This window comes from Homo sapiens, chromosome 14 (assembly GCF_000001405.40).
Source record: "Homo sapiens chromosome 14, GRCh38.p14 Primary Assembly".
Taxonomy (NCBI): domain Eukaryota; kingdom Metazoa; phylum Chordata; class Mammalia; order Primates; family Hominidae; genus Homo; species Homo sapiens.
In genome coordinates this window covers 35,767,271-35,785,469 of record NC_000014.9, presented here as the reverse complement: position 1 = coordinate 35,785,469, position 18,199 = coordinate 35,767,271, and the positions used below count along the sequence as shown (strand labels likewise).

The following is an 18,199-nucleotide window of genomic DNA, read 5'->3' as shown; positions in this document are numbered from 1 at the left end:
GTAATGCATTTTCCAGTATATAAAACCTCTTTTTACTTCTTTATAATTTAAAGTATTTGCAAAGCACTGTATCTATTTATTCAAATGGTTCTCAAGCTATCTGTGAAGATCAGATCAGATAGAGATCAGATCAGATCCATCATTTTCAGATTTCAAGGAACAAGATATAAGCAAGAACGGGTAATTATTTTTATTAAACACATTTTATAATTTAAAGTATTTGCATTGTGCAAAAACTTAATGTTTATAAAATGTCTGCCTATATTTGTTTTAGCCACTTTAGATTTTAAATTTCCAGATACCATATGTTTAATTATTTTCAGTATCCAAAATAATGTCTTTGAGTGTTAGGGAAATGATTTAATGAATCAAGAAATTATCTGTTTTGGACATGTACAATTAGATACAGAATACTGGCAGTACTGTTTCATTTTTATTTATTTATTTGCTTGTAGAGATAGGGTCTGGCTATATTGGCAGGCTAATTTCAAACCCCTGGCCTCAAGCTATCCTCCCACTTCAGCCTCCCAAAGTGTTGAGATTATGGATGTGAACCACCATGCATGACCAGTAGTACTGTATTTTGATTACTCGCCTATCATCGGACTACTCAATTAAAAAATAACATTATTTTGTATTCTGTAATAATGGTATACTAGTAACTAGCTAGTCTTCAACTGCATAAATGTGAAGGTAATGCTTTGCTTGCAATAAATATCAGTAACTTGATGATATAACAGTTTGTAATATCTAGACTTAGGAAAAAAAAATTTGCCTTTCTCAGTCTGATCTCCATGAGCTCTTCAGCTTCTTTTTAGGTTAATTCTTTTCAGCCTGGCCAAGAAGGTATAGCTCTCAGATTCAGTTAGCCAGGTAGGGTCTGGCAGATCTCACAAATTAGGATGTCAAGGGGTTGAATATTAGATGAGCTAAAAGGAATAGATCAGCAAAAAAGGAAAAGAAACGGAAACTCATACCTTTTAGCAATCACTCCCCATTTCTCCTTACTTCCTGCCCCTGCCAGCCATTAGATACTTTCCATCTCTGTGGTTGACTCTTCTGCATGTTTCATATAAATAGAATAATAAATATATGGCCTTTTGTGTCTGGCTTCTTTCACTTAGCATAATCTTTTCAAAGTCCATCACATTGTAGCTTATAATACTATTTCGTGCTTTTTACGGCTAGATAATATTCATTGTATGGATTATACCATATTTTGTCTATCCATTCATCAATTGATGGACATTTGGGTTATTTCCACTGTTTGACCATTATGAATAATAACATTATAAACATTTGTGTGGGCATACATTTTCTTTCTTTTTCTTTTTTTTTTTGATAGAGATGAGACACTTTTGCCATGTTGCCCAGCCTGATCTTATGTTTTCAATTCTTGGGTATGTAATGTTCTAGGAATGGAATTGCTGGGCCATATGATAACTCTATATTAAACTTTTTAGGGACCTGCCACACTGTTTTCCAGAGTGGCTTCATCATTTATATTCCCACCAGCAGTGTACAAAGATTCAAATTTTCCCATATTGCCAACACTTGGTATTGTCTGTCTTTCTGATTATAGCTATCATAGTGGGTTAGAAGTAGTATCTCATTGTGGTTTTGCTTTGCATTTCCCTGATGGCTAATGATGTTAAACGTTTTTTCATGAGCTTACTGGCTATTTGTATATCTTCTTAGGAGAAATATATATTCAAATCCTTTGACCATTAAAAATTTTTGTTTTACAATTGAATTATAAGAATTCTTTCTATATTCTGGAGACTAATGTTTTAAAATCAGGTATATAATTTGCAAATATTTTCTTGCATTCTGTAGGTTATTTTCTCATTTTCTTGATAGTGTCCTCTGAAGCAAAAAGGTTTTGAATTTTGATGAAGTCAAATTTATTTTTTCTTTTATTGCTTGTGCATTTAGTGTCATATCTAAGAAAGAATTGACTGATTCAAGGTCATGTTTTCTTCTGAGTTTTATAATTTTAGTTTTTACATTTAGGTTTTTGGTTTTTGATCCATTTTGAGTTAATTTTTCAAGTATAGTCTTCATTCTTTTCAACTGTGTGTTGAAAAGACTTTTGAAGGGTACCAAACAACTCAATGAGGAAAAAAAAGTCAACCATTTGTTAAAAATACTTTTTTTTTCCCTCCTTTTCCTCCTTGAGTTGTTTGGTACCCTTGTCGATGATCAGTTGATCATCAGTGTAAGGATTTATTTCTGAACTCTCAATTGTTCCATTCATCTATATGTCTATCCTTATCCCGGTACTACACTCTGTTGATTAGTGTAGCTTTGTAGTAAGTTTTGAAATGAGACAATGTCAGTTCTCCAGCATTGTTCTTGGTGGCTCATGCCTGTAATCTCAGGACTTTGGGAGTAGAGGTGAGAGGATCACTTGAGTCCGGGAGTTTGAGACCAGCCTGGGCAACATGTGGCAATGCCTGTCTCTACAAAAAATTTAAAAAATGAGCCAGGTGTAATGGCATAAACTTGTAGTCCCAGTGACTCAGGAGGCTGAGGTGGGAGGATTGCTTGAGTCTGGGAGGTTGAGGCTGCAGTGAACTGTGACTGCACCACTGCATTCCAGCCTAGGTAACAGCGAGACTCCATTTAAAAAAAAAAAATACTGTTTTGACTATTCTGGGTCACTTGCATTTTCTTTTGAATTTTAGGATTAGCTTGTCAGTTTTTGCAAAAAACTATGTTAGGATTTTGGTAAAGAGTACATTGAGGCTGGGTGTGGTGGCTCATGTCTGTAATCCCAGCACTTTGGGAGGCCATGGCGGGTGGATCACCTTAGGTTAGGAGTTCAAGACCAGCCTGGCCAACCTCGTCTCTACTAAAAATACAAAAATTAGCTGGGTGTGGTGGCACATGCATGTAATCACAGCTACTCTGGATGCTGAGGCAGGAGAATCTCTTGAACCTGAGAGGCGGAGGTTGCAATGAGCCGAGATCGAGATTGAGCCACTGCACTCCTGCCTGGGCAACAGAGTGATACTCTGTCTCAAAAAAAAGAAAAAATAGAAGAAAAAAAAGAGTACATTGAATCTTTAGGTATATTTGGGGGCTGTTGCTATCTTAACAGCATTCAGTCTTACTCATGAACACAGAATGTCTCCATTTGTTTTAGTCTTTAATTTTTTTCAGTAATGTTTTGTAGTTTCCAGTGTACAAGTCTTGTACTTCTTTTGTTAAATTTAAGTATTTTATTCTATTTCAAACTATTGTAAATGGAATTGTTTGCTTAATTTCACTTTTAGATTGTTCATTGCCAGTGTATAGAAATACAGTTGATTTTTCTTATTAATCTTGTATTCTGCAACCTAGTTGAGCTTGTTTGTCAGTCAGATAGGATTTTTTGGTGGATTCCTTAGGATTTTCGATATCCAAGATCATGTCATTTATGAGTAGAGATAGTAATGCTTTGGACTTTACAATGTGTGTGGCTTTTATTTCTTTTTCATGCATAATTGTCTTGGCTAGAATTTACAGTATAATATTAAATAAAAGTAACAAAAAGACATCCATGTCTTGTTCATGCTTTTAGGGGTAAAGCTTTCAGTCTTTTTTCACTAAGTGTGTTGTTAGTTGTGACCGTTTCATAGATACCTGTTATCAGGTTAAGAAATACTTTTCTTTTCCTAGCTTTTTGAGTATCTTTAGGATGAAATTATATTGGGTTTTGTCAGATGTTTTTTCTGTGTCTATTGAAACTATCATGTGAGTTTTGACCTTTATGTTAACATAAGGTATTACAGTGATTGATTTTTATATGTTGAACCAACCTTGCCTTCTGGGATGAATGTCACTTAGTCATAGTGAGTGTGTGTGTATGTGTGTGTGTAGATAGATAGATAGATAGATAGATAGATAGATTCAGTTTTCTAGTATTTTGTTGAGGATTTTTACATTCATATTCATAAAGGATATTGGTCTGTATTTTTCTTGTAATGTTTTTGTCTGATTTTCATATGAGAATATTGGCCTCATAGAATGAGTGGGAAATATACTCTATTTTTTGGAAGAGTTGGTAGGATTCACCCATAAGCCATTTGAGTCCAAGCTTTTCTTTGAAGTAGTTTTTTTTCCCCCACTAATTCAATCTTCTCATTCATTGTAGGTTGTTTCAGAATTTCTATTTCTTCTTGAGTCAGTTTTGGTGGTTTGTGACTTTCTAGTAATTTGTTCATTTCATATAGGCTGTGTAATTTGCTAGCATACAGTTGCTCATAGTATCCTCTTATAATTTTTATTTCTGTAGGGTTAGTAGTAATGTATTATATTCCAGTCCAGATTAGTGATTTGAATCTTATGTCTTTTTCAGTTTGGACAGTCTAGCTGACAGTTTGTCAAGTTTTTTGAGTGTTTCAAAGAACCAATTTTTGTTTAATGATTTTTTTTGGGGGGTCTCTATTTCTTTTATGTCCTTTCTAATCTTTATTTCCTTCTTTGTGCTTTAGGATTAGTTTGCTCTTTATTTTCGTATATATGTATGACCACACCTGGCTATTTTTAATTTCTTTGTAGAAATGGAGTCTCACTAAGTTGCCCGGGCTGGTTGTAAACTGCTGGGCTCAATTGAGACTCCTGCCTCGGCCTTCCAAAGGGTTGGGATTACAGGCGTGAACCAACGCACCCAGCCAATGGTCTTACTTCCTAAGGTGGAACATTATGGTTCGATTTTCAGATTTCTTTCTCATATAGCAATTTAAAGCTATAGATTTTTCTGTCAGCACTGGATTAGCTGGATGCCATAAGTTTTGGTATGTTGTATTTTCATTTACATTCATCTCAAAGATTTTCTAACTTCTCCTGTGATTTTTCTTTGACCAATTGGTTATTTAGTTGTGTATTGCTAAATTTCCACATATTTGTGAGTTTTCTTAATTTCCTTATGTTATTGATTTCTAATTTCATTCCACTGTGGCCAGATAACATACTTTGTCTTCAGTCCTTTTAAATTACTGAAGTTTATTTTATGGCCTTACATATGGTCTATTTTGGATAGTATACCATGTGCATTTGAAAAGACTGTATTCTTTTGTTGTTAGATGGGCATTCGATAGATGTCTGTTAGATCTGGCTGCATTATAGTATTGTTTAGGTCTTCTATTTTCCCTTCTGTCTAGTTCTATTCATTATTGAAAGTAGAGTGTTGACTCTTAAATTACCATTGTTGAATTGTGTGTATATTCCTTCAATTCAGTTCTGTTCAGTTTCTGCTTTGGGGGTTGGGAGTTCTGTTGTTAAGTGCATATATGTTCACAATTGTTATATCTTCTTAAAAGATTAACCCTTTAACTATTATAAAATGTCCTTCTTCTCTAGCAATAATTTTTTTTTTTTTGAGACAGTCTAGCTCTGTTACCCAGGCTGGAGTGCAGTGATGCGATCTTGACTCACTGCAACCTCCACCTCCTGGGTTCAAGCGATTATGCTGCTTCAGCCTCCCTGGTAGCTGGGACTACAGGCGCCCACCACCACGCCCAGCTAGTAGAGACAGGGTTTCACCATGTTGGCCAGGATGGTCTCAATCTCTTAACCTCATGATCCGCCCACCTCAGCCTCCCAAAGTGCTGGGATTATAGGCGTGAGCCACTGCGCCCAGCCTAATTTTGATCATTTTTATTAGCGTTAGAAAGTAAATAATTTCCAGACTTTGTTAGCATGCCTTATGGGAAGGAAATTGAGAGAGAATACTTTGGCTCCTAATATGTCGCAAAATCTTGAGTTGATTCATGTTTGCTTTTGTTGTGTTTTTTTGGTTTGCTTTGTTATTGTTCTCATTTTCTTTTTTTTCCTCGAACATTGTGTCTTTGAAACATTAATTTTAGGAAATTTAGAGGTAATTGTAGCAGCCTATTTCTTTATTATTATTTATTATTTCTTTATTATTATTTCATTATTATTATTATTATTATTTAGTGACAAGGTCTCGCTTTGTTGCCTAGACTGGAGTGCATTGGCTCAATCATAGCACACTGCAACTTAACTTAAATTCCTAGGCTCAAGGGATTCCCTCACCTTAGTCTCCAGAGTTGCTGGGACTAGAGGCACATGCCACCATGCTTGGCTGATTTTTTAGTTTTGTAGAAATGGAATCTCAATGTGTTGCCCAGGCTGATCTCAAACTCCTGGCCTCAAACAACCCTCCCACTTCAGCCTCCTAAAGTACTGGGATTACAGATGTCAACCACCTTGCCCAGCCCAAGCCTGTTTTATTCTAATTTCATAATTCTTTAAACTACTCTGTGGGAAAACTAGAACACCTTTCCTCTTTATTTCAGTTGTATGTGCTTTTATTTTGATATTTGATAAACTATATTTAACTAGTATTTGATGACTATTATTCTTATAGGCAGATAATAGATAAATATTTAGTATTCTTTTTTTACAGATGTATTACATTGGAGGCTGAATAGATCTAGGGTTACCTGTTGTTTAAATCCTGACTCTACTTCTTATGAGCTAAGTTTCTTAGACTCTCTGTACCTAAATTTTCTCACCTGTAAAATGGAGATAATAATGGTACTAATTTCATAGTATTGCTATGTAGATTATAGGAATTAGTTTCTGTGGAGTGCTGAGAATAGTGTGCATTGTTTAGAAAACATTCGCTTTGTGTTACACATTATTATTTTGTCTAGTTCTGTGAAAAGTCACATAGGTAGTAAGTGTTACAGACAGGAGTGAAATCTGGGTATTCTAATTCCAGTCAAGAGGAGGCAGTTCTATTTTGCCTGTCAGTAGGTTATGCAGTCTTTTCCAAGGTAAAAATTTCCATATTGTATGAACTGAATATAATGAAGTAAAAATAATTAATTTTGTTAGTAATAAAACACATTTGAGTACATATTGTTTGCTCAGCATTGTGCCAATTTTTAGAAATCCTGAGGTAGACACAGTTTCTATTCTAAAGATGCTAGACTAGTCCTGGAAGAAAGACAATAAGACATTTGAAACATTGTTCTTTCCATAAAAGAGAAATGTACAGAATCCAAGGGAATAGAGAGGAAAGGCATATATCCCTTTCCTTTTGGAATGGCAGAACAAAAAACAGTCTTGGAAAATCACATAGATAAGACATCACTAAAAAGTTACTATGCCAGGTGTTGTGGCTATCGCCTGTAATCTCAACACTTTGAGACCAAGGTAGGAGGATTGCTTCAGCCCAGTAGTTTGAGAACAGCCTGGGCAACATAACAAGACCCCATCTCTACAAAAATTAGCTAGGTGTGGTGGGGAGACCTGGGTCCCAGGTACTTTTGGAGGCTGAGGTGGGAGGATTGCTTGAACTCAAGAGGTTGAGGCTGCAGTGAGTTGTAATCATGCCACAGCACTCTAGCCTGGGTGATAGAGTGAGACCCTGTCTCCCCCCCAAAATTGTAATGAATATTCGTAGGATATGATAATACATGAAAGAGTTTAAAGTGCTATCTATATGTTGTTACTGTACTTTATTTTGAAATCTTATGTTGAGCCTTAGTGCATTCTAAGAAATTAATTGATGTTTACCTTTAACTTGAGTTTATTTACAATGGTTTCTTTGTTTCCTTTCAAAAATCTTTTATTTTTTCAGTTGCCTTTTAAAATTATGTTTTGAGGCTGGACACAGTGGCTCACACCTGTAATCCCAGCACTTTGGGAGACTGAGGCGGGCGGATCACTTGAGGTCAGGCTGGCCAACATAGTGAGACCCCATCTCTACTGAAAATATAAAAATTAGCCAGGTGTGATAGTGGGCACCTGTAATCCCAGCTACTCGGGAGTCTGAGGCAGGAGAATCGCTTGAACCCTGGAGGTGGAGGTTGCAGGGAGCCGAGATTGTACCACTACACTACAGCCTGGGCCACAGAGCAAGACACCATCTCAAAAAAATAAAACAGAAACAAAAAATTCTATTTTGTATTGTAAGAGAAGTAATGTGCTTTTTGTAAACAATTTGGAATAGTAGGAAGTACATAAAGTAGAATTTCTCCACTCTTTTTCACCAGCATTCTCACTTACACTGAAAATGAGCTAAGCAACAATAAAACTAGTCATGCTCCCTAGAGGTAACGCTGCCTAGTTGTTTGGTATCTTCTATGCATAAATACATATACATATGCATAAGTACATGCAAGCATATCTCAAGTCTACTTGTTTATTTTTATTAAAATGCTCTAAGCTTTAGCCAAAATGGATTATTTTTCTGGATACTATCATACCTCACGTTTTTCTTTTCTTTTGTTTTTCGTTAATAGGTTCTTATTGGTAGCACTTAAAAATGGTATCTTAAATATATTTTGTTAACAAAATATATTATTACAATTAATTTCCCCGTGTCATTTTATTTCTTAAAATGTGATTACAAGGAAATTTAAAATCACATATGTAGCTAATATTTGTGGCTTGCATTATATTTCTAGGAGACAGCACTGATTGAGACAGATTGCTGATTATGCATTTGCTAATCTCTTCCAAGAGGGACCCAGAAACTACAGTTCTCCAATCTGGATCTCAGAGATTATGAGAGAACCAGGCCACTTTGACTTTTTTTTTTTAAAGCTTCATAGTAAATAGTAAATTTAAAAAAAATTTTTATTATACTCTAAGTTCTAGGGTACACGTGCACAACGTGCAGGTTTGTTACATGTGTATACATGCATACCTCACGTTTTTCTTGCTCCATGTATTTTTTATGCCTTGAATGCCCTTTCCATTCAACTCCACCACTTTATGTCTAGTGTTCTTCCTGTCCTTAAAAGTCTTTTCAGATATTATGTACTCTGTCAGGCCTTTTTTCTTTCCCCACCTTTGTGCTTTATTGAGCTTTGAAAGTACTCTTGTGTTTCTAAACTGCCATATACTTTGACATCTCACTTTTAGTACTAACACTTCTACTGTTCATATAGTTATTCATTTAATTTTGCATGCCCTGCTCTTACTGACAGTTTCTTTAGAGCAGTACTGTCTGTGTTTGAGCTTTTTAATCCCTAAGTACCTATTTACAAAGCCTATTGTTAGGTACCTATTTACAGAATAAATATATTTCAGACATTATAAATTCTTCTTTTTTTTTTTTTTCCCCAAGGTGGAGTCTCACTCTGTCTTCCCAGGCTAGAGTGCAGTGGCGCAATCTTGGCTCACTGTAGCCTCCACCTCCTGGGTTCAAGTGATTCTCGTGCCTCAGCCTCCCAAGTAGCTGGGATTACAGGTGCACGCCACCACACCCAGCTGATTTTTGTATTTTTAGTAGAGATGAGGTTTCACTGTGTTGGCCAGGCTGGTTTCGAACTCCTGACCTCAGGTATCTGCCCACCTTGGCCTCCCAAAGTTGGGATTACAGGCGTGAGCCACCATACCTGGCCTTCAGACATCATAAATTATTATTCTGATTTTCAACTGTCTTGGGGAGAAGTTAGGAAAGCTGTAGCTGTGAATTGAAAATAGAACTTAACTTCTTTTTTTGGTATGATTAATGATTTTGAATAAGTTTTTCTGAGCTATTGTTTTCTTGATCAGTTTTTAAAATTAAAACTAAAATCGGCAAAGACTAAAGTTTTAAGAACGAGGATATAGACATAGAAATATATATTGTAAATATTTTAATAGAATAGAATTTTAGGAGCAGTTCTTTGACTTTGAAGGAAACTTGTCGCTGAATATTTGCTAAACTTGATTTAACATACATGTAAATAATCAGTAATTTTTTTTTATTTTTCAGAGAATGCAGAATCTATTGATCTTAAACAGTTTTTCGACCAACATTTTTCACATATATACTATGTGTTCTTTGAAAATTTTGTGACTATTGAAGCTAGTCTTAAACAGAAAGGTAAGATGCTAACATATATCTTGGCGTATGTTAATATTTCTAATAATTGTCATAAACATAACTTAAAGGCTGTTGGACATATTGTTTCACTTATTTTTGTCGGACAGCTTTTTGCTTTCCCTCTCACACTACTATCATAGGTCTAGTGACCTGTATTTTAAAGACAACTGATGGGTTAGTATTACTATCCTTATTACTTTACAATGGCTTGAAGATTTGCTTTTTCACTGGTCAGGTTGATTTGTTCCCTCATTGTGCCTTCTTTGGTTCTGCCCTAGGAGCATATGTCACATTTGAGCAGTCATTTTCATATTTTCATTTTCAGAGCTTATTTGAAGTTCTTTGTAATATATCATGATTTGTTTCTAGACATAAATATGTGGAACCTAAATTTAATTACAGTACTCAAAAGAGTAAAGAGAGTGACTGTGATATTGTCTACACAATGAATGGAATATGCTTTAAACATTTTACTAAATAATTGCTGGGAAAAAAAAAACCTTCATTCTTGAAATATTTTAAGTTCATTATGAGGACAAAATGATATGTTTTAAATGTTTTCTTATAAAAATGTTTTAGGTCACAAGTCTCAAAGAGAGGAATTGGATGCTATACTTTTTATTTTTGAGGTAAGTGCTTCTGAACCTAACTTTTCCCTTTTTCAAAAATAATTTTTGGAACATACAAAGGAATATATTTAAATTATAAAACATGTAATGAAACACTCTGAATTTGCCAGCCTTTCTAAGAACTAAATCTAAATTTTTTAAATATGCCTGACTGAATCCTATACTTTTTGAGGTACAATGTATTACTTTTTGGTACAGATATAATTATGTTTTTATACATTTGACACCACAAAATTGGTATGATATTCAGTGTGTTTGCAAACAATGAAGATTTTAATTTGTCGAAGGTTTACTGAAATGGAAAATTTGATTTTGTTTTAACTCCAAAACATTCTTACCTAAGAAGGTATATTCCTGTAACTTTTATGTGCCTAAGGGATTTATTGTTTCTTGGTTCACTGCTTTTCATTGCAAACTTGTTTAAAATAGTCTTAAATATTTTAAAAATTGTCATTTTACATTAGATTGGAAATGGGGCAAGTCTTTATAAATAAAAGTCAGGAAACATAGCTCATAGGTAAATGAACAAAATTTTGATGCTCTGCTAGTTTTTTTTTTTAATTTTTAGCACACTTAAAAATTAAGACCCTTTTACTCCCCTTTTAAAATAACTCCTTGCTCTTTATTGTCTTTCAAAGTAAACAGATAAACAGTCATAGGAGTATTCTGATCTTCACTGAGAATTTCGAGACCTGTAGAAAGCCAGGAATATGCATAGAAAATAATTTGGAAATCAGTTTCTGAAGATTGAGCTATTCTGTCTGGTGCTAATTAAAGATAATTCACTCTTGGCTGTATGTGGTGGTTCAAAGTAATCCCTGCACTTTCGGAGGCTGAGGTGGGAGGTTCATTTGAGCTCAGGAGTTAGAAACCAGCCTGGGCAACACTGCAAGACCTAGTCTCTATTAAAAATCAAAAAAGTTAGCCAAGGCATGGTGGTGGCAGGCGCTTGTAGTGCTAGTGACTCAGGAGGCTGAGGTGGGAGGATCCCTTGAACCCAGGAGGTCGAAACTATAGTGAGCCGTGATTGTGCCACTGCACTCTTGGGCAAGAGAGTGAGACCCTGTCTCAAAAATAATAATAATAATAATAATAATAATTCACTCTTTAGTATTTTGATGTAATTTAGAATTTGAACAACCTCATTTATATGTCTCTTAGCTGTTGATTTAGTTAAGGGGGGAAAAAAAGAATTTTTTTTAAGAGTTCCAAACAGTAGTAACGCTGATGTTAGTATCTGTTCTGCAGTTAATTTTCATTAGTCGTGACCCCTGAGGAATTTGATTATATTACTTCCTGAAGTGTTTGCATGAACTGTTCACAAGGGGAATATTGAAACGTAGTTGCTTTGAGAAAGAATAAAAATATCCACAGAGAAAGCAAGCTAATGATTCTTGGAAAGTATTCCTTCAAATGTTTACGCTTGCCTTAGATTCAGGAAACTGAGATGATTGATTAGTTAATAGAAGCCCTTTTGGAGTATTCCTTATATGTAAAAATAACTATTTTTCTATATGTAATATATATTGATTATTTTTTATTCTTTACATAGAAATGTTTGTCTTTAATGGATCACTAAATTTTATTAGAAAAAAGATCTGAGATACCAGGTTTTCATCTTTTGAAAAAATCATTTGATTTTTGTGCTGACGTTCTACTTATAGTAGGGGGCCTCTACCTTTAGAAACTGATGATGAAAAAGAAATCAGAAATAAAATGATTTCCTTCTTCTGGAATAAAAAGCATCATTATGTGTTGTTACTAATAATATGGTAGAGGTTTTATATTCTGTGCAGTTTAGGGCACATGTAATCTCTTTAATCTTTTATTTACCATATAAAAATATAAGGGGCTAAATCTAAAGTATAATTATTAGTTGTAATTTAGAAATGCTTTTGAATAGTTTACAAATTTGTCTTTTCAACTTTTCTATAAGTTTATCTCTTTCTATACAAAAATAAATATAATTATGCAGTTGTTGGCCAGCTGTGGGAGACATAGGGAGGACAAAGGTAAAAGAGTTTATGTGTCTCATGTGGGACCAGCATTTATCTGTGTAGAACTTTAAAATTTCTTTATCATCCTTTCATATGGGGTTTACTAAAGAAGATGATATCAACGAGAAGACAAGGAAATATAAAATATGCATGTCATCATTTGAGCAGTATATTATCAAGGCAGAGGTTTTAGAAATAGGCGTATTGAATTTGGAACCTCTGTTCTTTCACTTTCTAGCTTTGTAACCTAAGTGCACTACTTAACCCATTTCTTCATTTGTTGAATGAGATAAACCCTCCTTTTGGAATGATTGCAAGGATTAATGCAAGGTATATTAATTAATATACATATATAATAAAGTGCCTAGTGTTTGGCCCTTATTAGCATTCATTTAATGGAGTTCTAAATAATAGTAAGAACAGCAATAACAGCAAACACACAAAAATGTCATTCAGCAAGTGGATGAGTATTGAGAGCACTGTTTAGCAGTAAGGTAGCTCTTGATCGAGAATAATCCAAACAGGTATAATATTAAGGGAAATAAAAGGCAGAATTTTGAACATATTTGTGTAAAGATTTTATTACCAATTAATGGAAACCTATATATGTTAGCTTAACTACAGGGCTCCTAAAATTTTAAATCCTGCTCTCTGTCCGGGTGCAGTGGCTCATGCTTGTAATCCCAGCACTTTTGAAGGCCAAGGCAGGAGGATTGCTTGAGGCCTGAAGCTTGGGCGCAGCCTGGACAACATAGTAATACTCCATCTCCACAAAAATAGTAAAAAAAATTTAGCTGGGCATGGTGGCACACACTTGTAGTCCTATTTGGGAGGCTGAGACGAGTGGATCACTTGAACCCTTGAGTTTGTGGCTGTGGTGAGTTATGATTACACCACTGCACTCCAGCCAGGGTGAAAGGGTGAAACCCCCACCTCTTAAAAAAAAAATTTGCTCTCATACCTATATCCATCATAGCATCTAAGTACCTCTAGTTTCACATGATTAACTCAGTATAAATATTTGATGGGGTTCTCATGAAATCAAAATACTTTCTCTAGGATTATCAAGATAGGAGAAAGAACCATTAGAAGAAAGAGAAAATGTCACAAATATTAATATCTGAAAGAATTGAAACTCATCAGTGATATCCACAATATAGAAATTCTAGGAATTGCTAGACATAGTGGTGTGTGCCTGTATTCCCACCTTGTTGGGAGACTGAGGCAGGAGGATTGCTTGAGTCTGGGAGTTAAGGCTGTGATGCACTATGATCATGCTTCTGAATAGCCAGTGCACTCCAGCCTGTGCAACATAGCAAGACTCTGTCTCTAAAGGGGGAAAAAAAAGAAAATCTAGAAATAGTAAATAAGCATTTTAAATATATTAGAATTAGCATTTAATCATTAGGAAAACATATACCTTCTATATTATTGTAAAAGATGTATTTTGTTAATTTCTTGTTCTAAGTACTGGTTAGTATTGCTTGTTGTTTTTTGAGGCTTTCAAATAGTGATCAACATGCCAGTGCTAAAATAATGTCAATACTATCAAATTAGCTCAGGGACTATTTTGTAGTTTTTTGTTTGTTTGTTTGTTTTGTTTTGTTTTGTTTCGAGACGGAGTTTTGCTCTTATTGACCAGGCTGGAGGGCAGTGGCGTGATCTCGGCTCACGGTAACCTCTGCCTCTTGGGTTCAAGCGATTCTCCTGCCTCAGCCTCCTGAGTAGCTGGGATTACAAGCGCCTGCCACCACACTTGGCTAATTTTTGTATTTTTAGTAGAGACAGGGTTTCACCATGTTGGCCAGGCTGGTCTCGAACTCCTGACCTCAGGTGATCCACCCACCTCAGCTTCCCAAAGCGCTAGGATTACAGGTGTGAGCCACCGTGCCCGGCCTATTTTGTATTTGTTATACTTAGTGAGCCCTTTAATTTTTCACATTTTGCAGGATGTGAACTCATTACTTGGTTTTATTCTTTTCTTTTTTTCTCTTTATATTGATTTTTAGAAAATTTTACAACTTCTTCCAGAAAGAATTCATCAGCGATGGCAGTTTCATAGTATTGGTAAGTAATTCAAATATGTATTTCATATTTGAAACAAAGGATAATATATGAAAAATGTTCTTTAATGGGTTGTTAGTTGAAATGAATTAATAGGTGATGCTTTAATAAAAAGAAAATAAAGAATACAAGAACAGATTGACTAGGAATATAAGAAAAATTATAGATGAAGGATTTGCAGTCAAAATGCCATAGGAAATTTTTGGATCCACTGCTTCCTTTATTCTGATACATTAACATTGATGATAAAACTATAAAACAAAAAAGCAAGATTAGCATCAAGACAAATATCTCCTGATATCAGAAATCTCTATGAATCAGAGATGGAAGAAAAATGCAAAGTGCTAAATAGAATGGACATTTGTGTTGTTTCTAGTTTATTTACTTATTGTTTGCTAGTTCTATTTGTTTTATTGTATATTCCTTTGGATTTTCTACTGTAGGGTTATATCATCTGTGAATGAGTACAGTTACTTTTTTTTTTAATCAGATGCCTTTGATTTCTTCTTTCTTTCTTTTCTGTTTATTGTGCCTCCAGTACAATATTAAATAAAAGTGGCAAGAAAGAGCAGACATTCTTGCATTATTCCTGATTTCAGGGAGAAAGATAATGGTCAGTCTTCACCATTATATGTGATTTTAGCTGTAGTGTTTTTGTAGATGCCTTTTATCCAGTTGAAGAAGTTCTGTTTCTAGTTTGAGAGTTTTTAATCATAAATGTGCATTGTAGTTTGCCAAATGCTTTTTCTCCATCTATTGATGCGATCATTATCAGTGTCATTGGTGCTTTTGTCATTTATTCTATTAATATTATGTATTTTACTAATTGATTTTCAAATGTTAAACCAACTTTCCATACCTGAGGTAAATCCTATTTACTCACTATTTATAGTCCTTTTTATTTGTTGCTTACTTCAGTTTGCCTCTCTGTTTATGAGGAATATTGTATTGTAGTTTGTCAATCTTTATTTGGCTTTACTATTAAGATAGCTATAGAAGTTTAGAAGTGGTCCCTCTTGTTTTCTGAAACAGTTTGTGAATGAGTGGTAGGTAACATTTTCTTCTTTAAATAGTTGATAAAATTCAAAAGTGAGACCATTTGTACTTGGACTTTTCTTTGTGATATTTGTAATTATTACTTCAATTTCTTGTTATAGGTTTATTCAGATTTTATATATCTCTCTGAGTCAGTTTGATAATTTGTTTCTTTCTAGGAACAAATTTGTTAGTAGAAAGTTGTTCAAGTTATTCCTTAGAGTAATCCTTTCGATTCCTATAGGGTCAATAGTGATGTCCCCTTTCATTCTTTTTTTTTAATATTACATAAACTTTTTATTTATTCTTTAATGGTTTCAACTTTATTTTTAGATTCAGGGGATGCATATGCAGGTTTGTTACATGTGTATATCTCATGATGCTGAGGTTTAGGGTATGACTGATCCTGTCACCCAGGTGGTGAACATAGTACCTAACTGTTTTTCAACCCTTGTCCCTCTAGTACTTCCCAATGTCTATTATTGCCATTTTTACGTCCATGAGTACCCAGTGTTTAGCTCCCACTTACAAATGAGAGTATATGATATTTGATTTTCTGTTCCCATGTTAATTTGCTTTAGAATAATGGCCTCCAGCTGTATCCATGTTGCTAAATGTTGCTGCACCGGACATGATTTCATTCTTTTTAATGGCTATATCCGCTTTCATCCTTGATTTTGTTAATTTATGTCTTCTCTCCTATTTTATTGGCCAGTCTAACTATTTGTCATATTTGTTGATCTTTTCAAAGAACAAACTTTTGATATCATTGATTTTCTTTATACTTTTTCTGCTTTCTATTTTCTTGTTTTCCATTCTAGTCTTTGATATTTTATGTGTGTGTATATATATATATATATATATATATATATATTTTTTTTTTTTTTTTTTTTTTTTTTTTGAGACGGAGTTTCGCCCTTGTTGCCCAGGCTGGAGTACAGTGGCACTATCTCGGCTCACCACAACCTCCGCCTCCCAGATTCAAGCGATCTTCCTGCCTCAGCCTCCCGAGTAGCTGGGATTACAGGCATGCACCACCACACCCGGCTTATTTTGTATTTTTAGTAGAGATGGGGTTTCTGCATGTTGGTCAGGCTGGTCATGAACTCCCGACCTCGGGTGATCCGCCCACCTCGGCCTCCCAAAGTGCTGGGATTAAAGACGTGAGCCACTGTGCCCTACCTATTTATTTTTTGTAGTACTGTATTTTTTTTAAGAGACAGGATCTTATTCAGTCACCAGGCTGAAGTGCAGTGCCATGATTGATCATGGTTCACTGAAGCCTTGAAATGGGCTTAAGCCATCCCCCTACTCAGCCTCTTAAGTAGCTGGGACCACAGGTGTACACCACCAGGCCCAGCTCACTTTTTAAAATTATTTTTTGTAGAGACGGGGTCTTGCTTTGTTGCCCAGGCTGGTCTCAAACCTCCGGCTTCAAGCCATCCTCCTACCCCAACCTCCCAAAGTGCTGGGATTACAGGTGTGAGCCATCATACTCAACCTCTTTTATATTTTATAAAACATTCTGTGGCAGGCATGATGCCCCATGCCTGTCATCTCAGCACTTGGCAGAGGCTGAAAGAGGATGATCACTTGAGGCCAGGAGTTTGAGACCAGCTTGAGCAACATAGTGAGACTCTGTCTTTAAAGACAAAAGAAATTTTTTTAAGCTAGCCTCACTTGTTGGTATGTGCCTGTAGTCCCTGCTACTCAGGAGGCTGAGGCAGGAGGATCACTTAAGTCCAGAAATTCAAGGGTGCAGTAAGCTGTGATCACACTGCTACACTCCAATTGGGGTGACAGAATGAGACACAATCTCTAAAACATGAAAATAAGGACAGATGTGGTGGCTCATGCCTATAATCCCAGCACTTTGAGAGCCTGAGGCAGGTGGATCGCTTGAGCATGGGAGTTCGAGACCAGCCTGGGCAACATGGTGAAACCCCATCTAGGAAAAAAATACAAAAATTATCCAGACGTGATGACTCCTTCATGTCGTCCCAGCTCCTTGGGAGGCTGATTTGGGAAGATCATCTGAACTTGGTGAGGTCAAGACTGCAGCAAGCCAAGATCATGCCACTGCACTTTTAGCCTGAGTAAAAAAATGATACCCTGTCTCAACAATAAAAAAAAATTTTAATTAAAAAAGAGAGAAATTCTGCTTCCTTTGGGTTTAATTTACTCTTCTGTTTCTAGGTTTTTGTTTATTTGTTTGTTTTTTTGAGATGGAATCTTGCTCTGTCGCCCAGACTGGAGTGCAGTGACGCTGTCTTGGCTCACTGCAACCTCTGCCTCCTGGGTTCAAGCAATTCTCCTGCCTCAGCCTCCTGAGTAGCTGGGACTATACAGGCACATGCCACCACGCCCGGCTAATTTTTGTATTTTTAGTAGAGACAGGGTTTCACCATGTTGGCCAGGATGGTCTCGATCTCCTGACCTCGTGATCCACCCACCTCAGCCTCCCAAAGTGCTAGGATTACAGGTGTGAGTCACTGCGCCTGGCCCTGTTTCTAGTTTTTTTAAGATGTAACCATAGAATATTAATCTGATAGCTTTCTTCTTTTCTGATATAGGTATTTAAAACTATAAATTTCCCTCTAAGCTTTGCCTTATATCCATCCCATAAATTTTAGCATGTT

General features: G+C 35.5%; 1 protein-coding gene across 21 annotated transcripts in view; it reads left to right on the top strand.

The window, feature by feature from the left end:
- RALGAPA1 (Ral GTPase activating protein catalytic subunit alpha 1) overlaps positions 1 to 18,199 on the top strand; it is a 270,940-nt gene that overhangs the window by 23,826 nt on the left and 228,915 nt on the right. For all 21 annotated transcript variants that reach the window (XR_007063998.1, NM_194301.4, NM_001346246.2 and 18 more), the window contains exons 2-4: positions 9,725 to 9,835; positions 10,415 to 10,464; positions 14,471 to 14,528. Coding sequence is in view for 20 of the 21 variants with exons in the window: in NM_194301.4 (NP_919277.2) it covers positions 9,725 to 9,835; positions 10,415 to 10,464; positions 14,471 to 14,528 (219 nt within the window). In the remaining variant the exon portion in view is untranslated. The remainder of the gene's footprint in view (positions 1 to 9,724; positions 9,836 to 10,414; positions 10,465 to 14,470; positions 14,529 to 18,199) is intronic.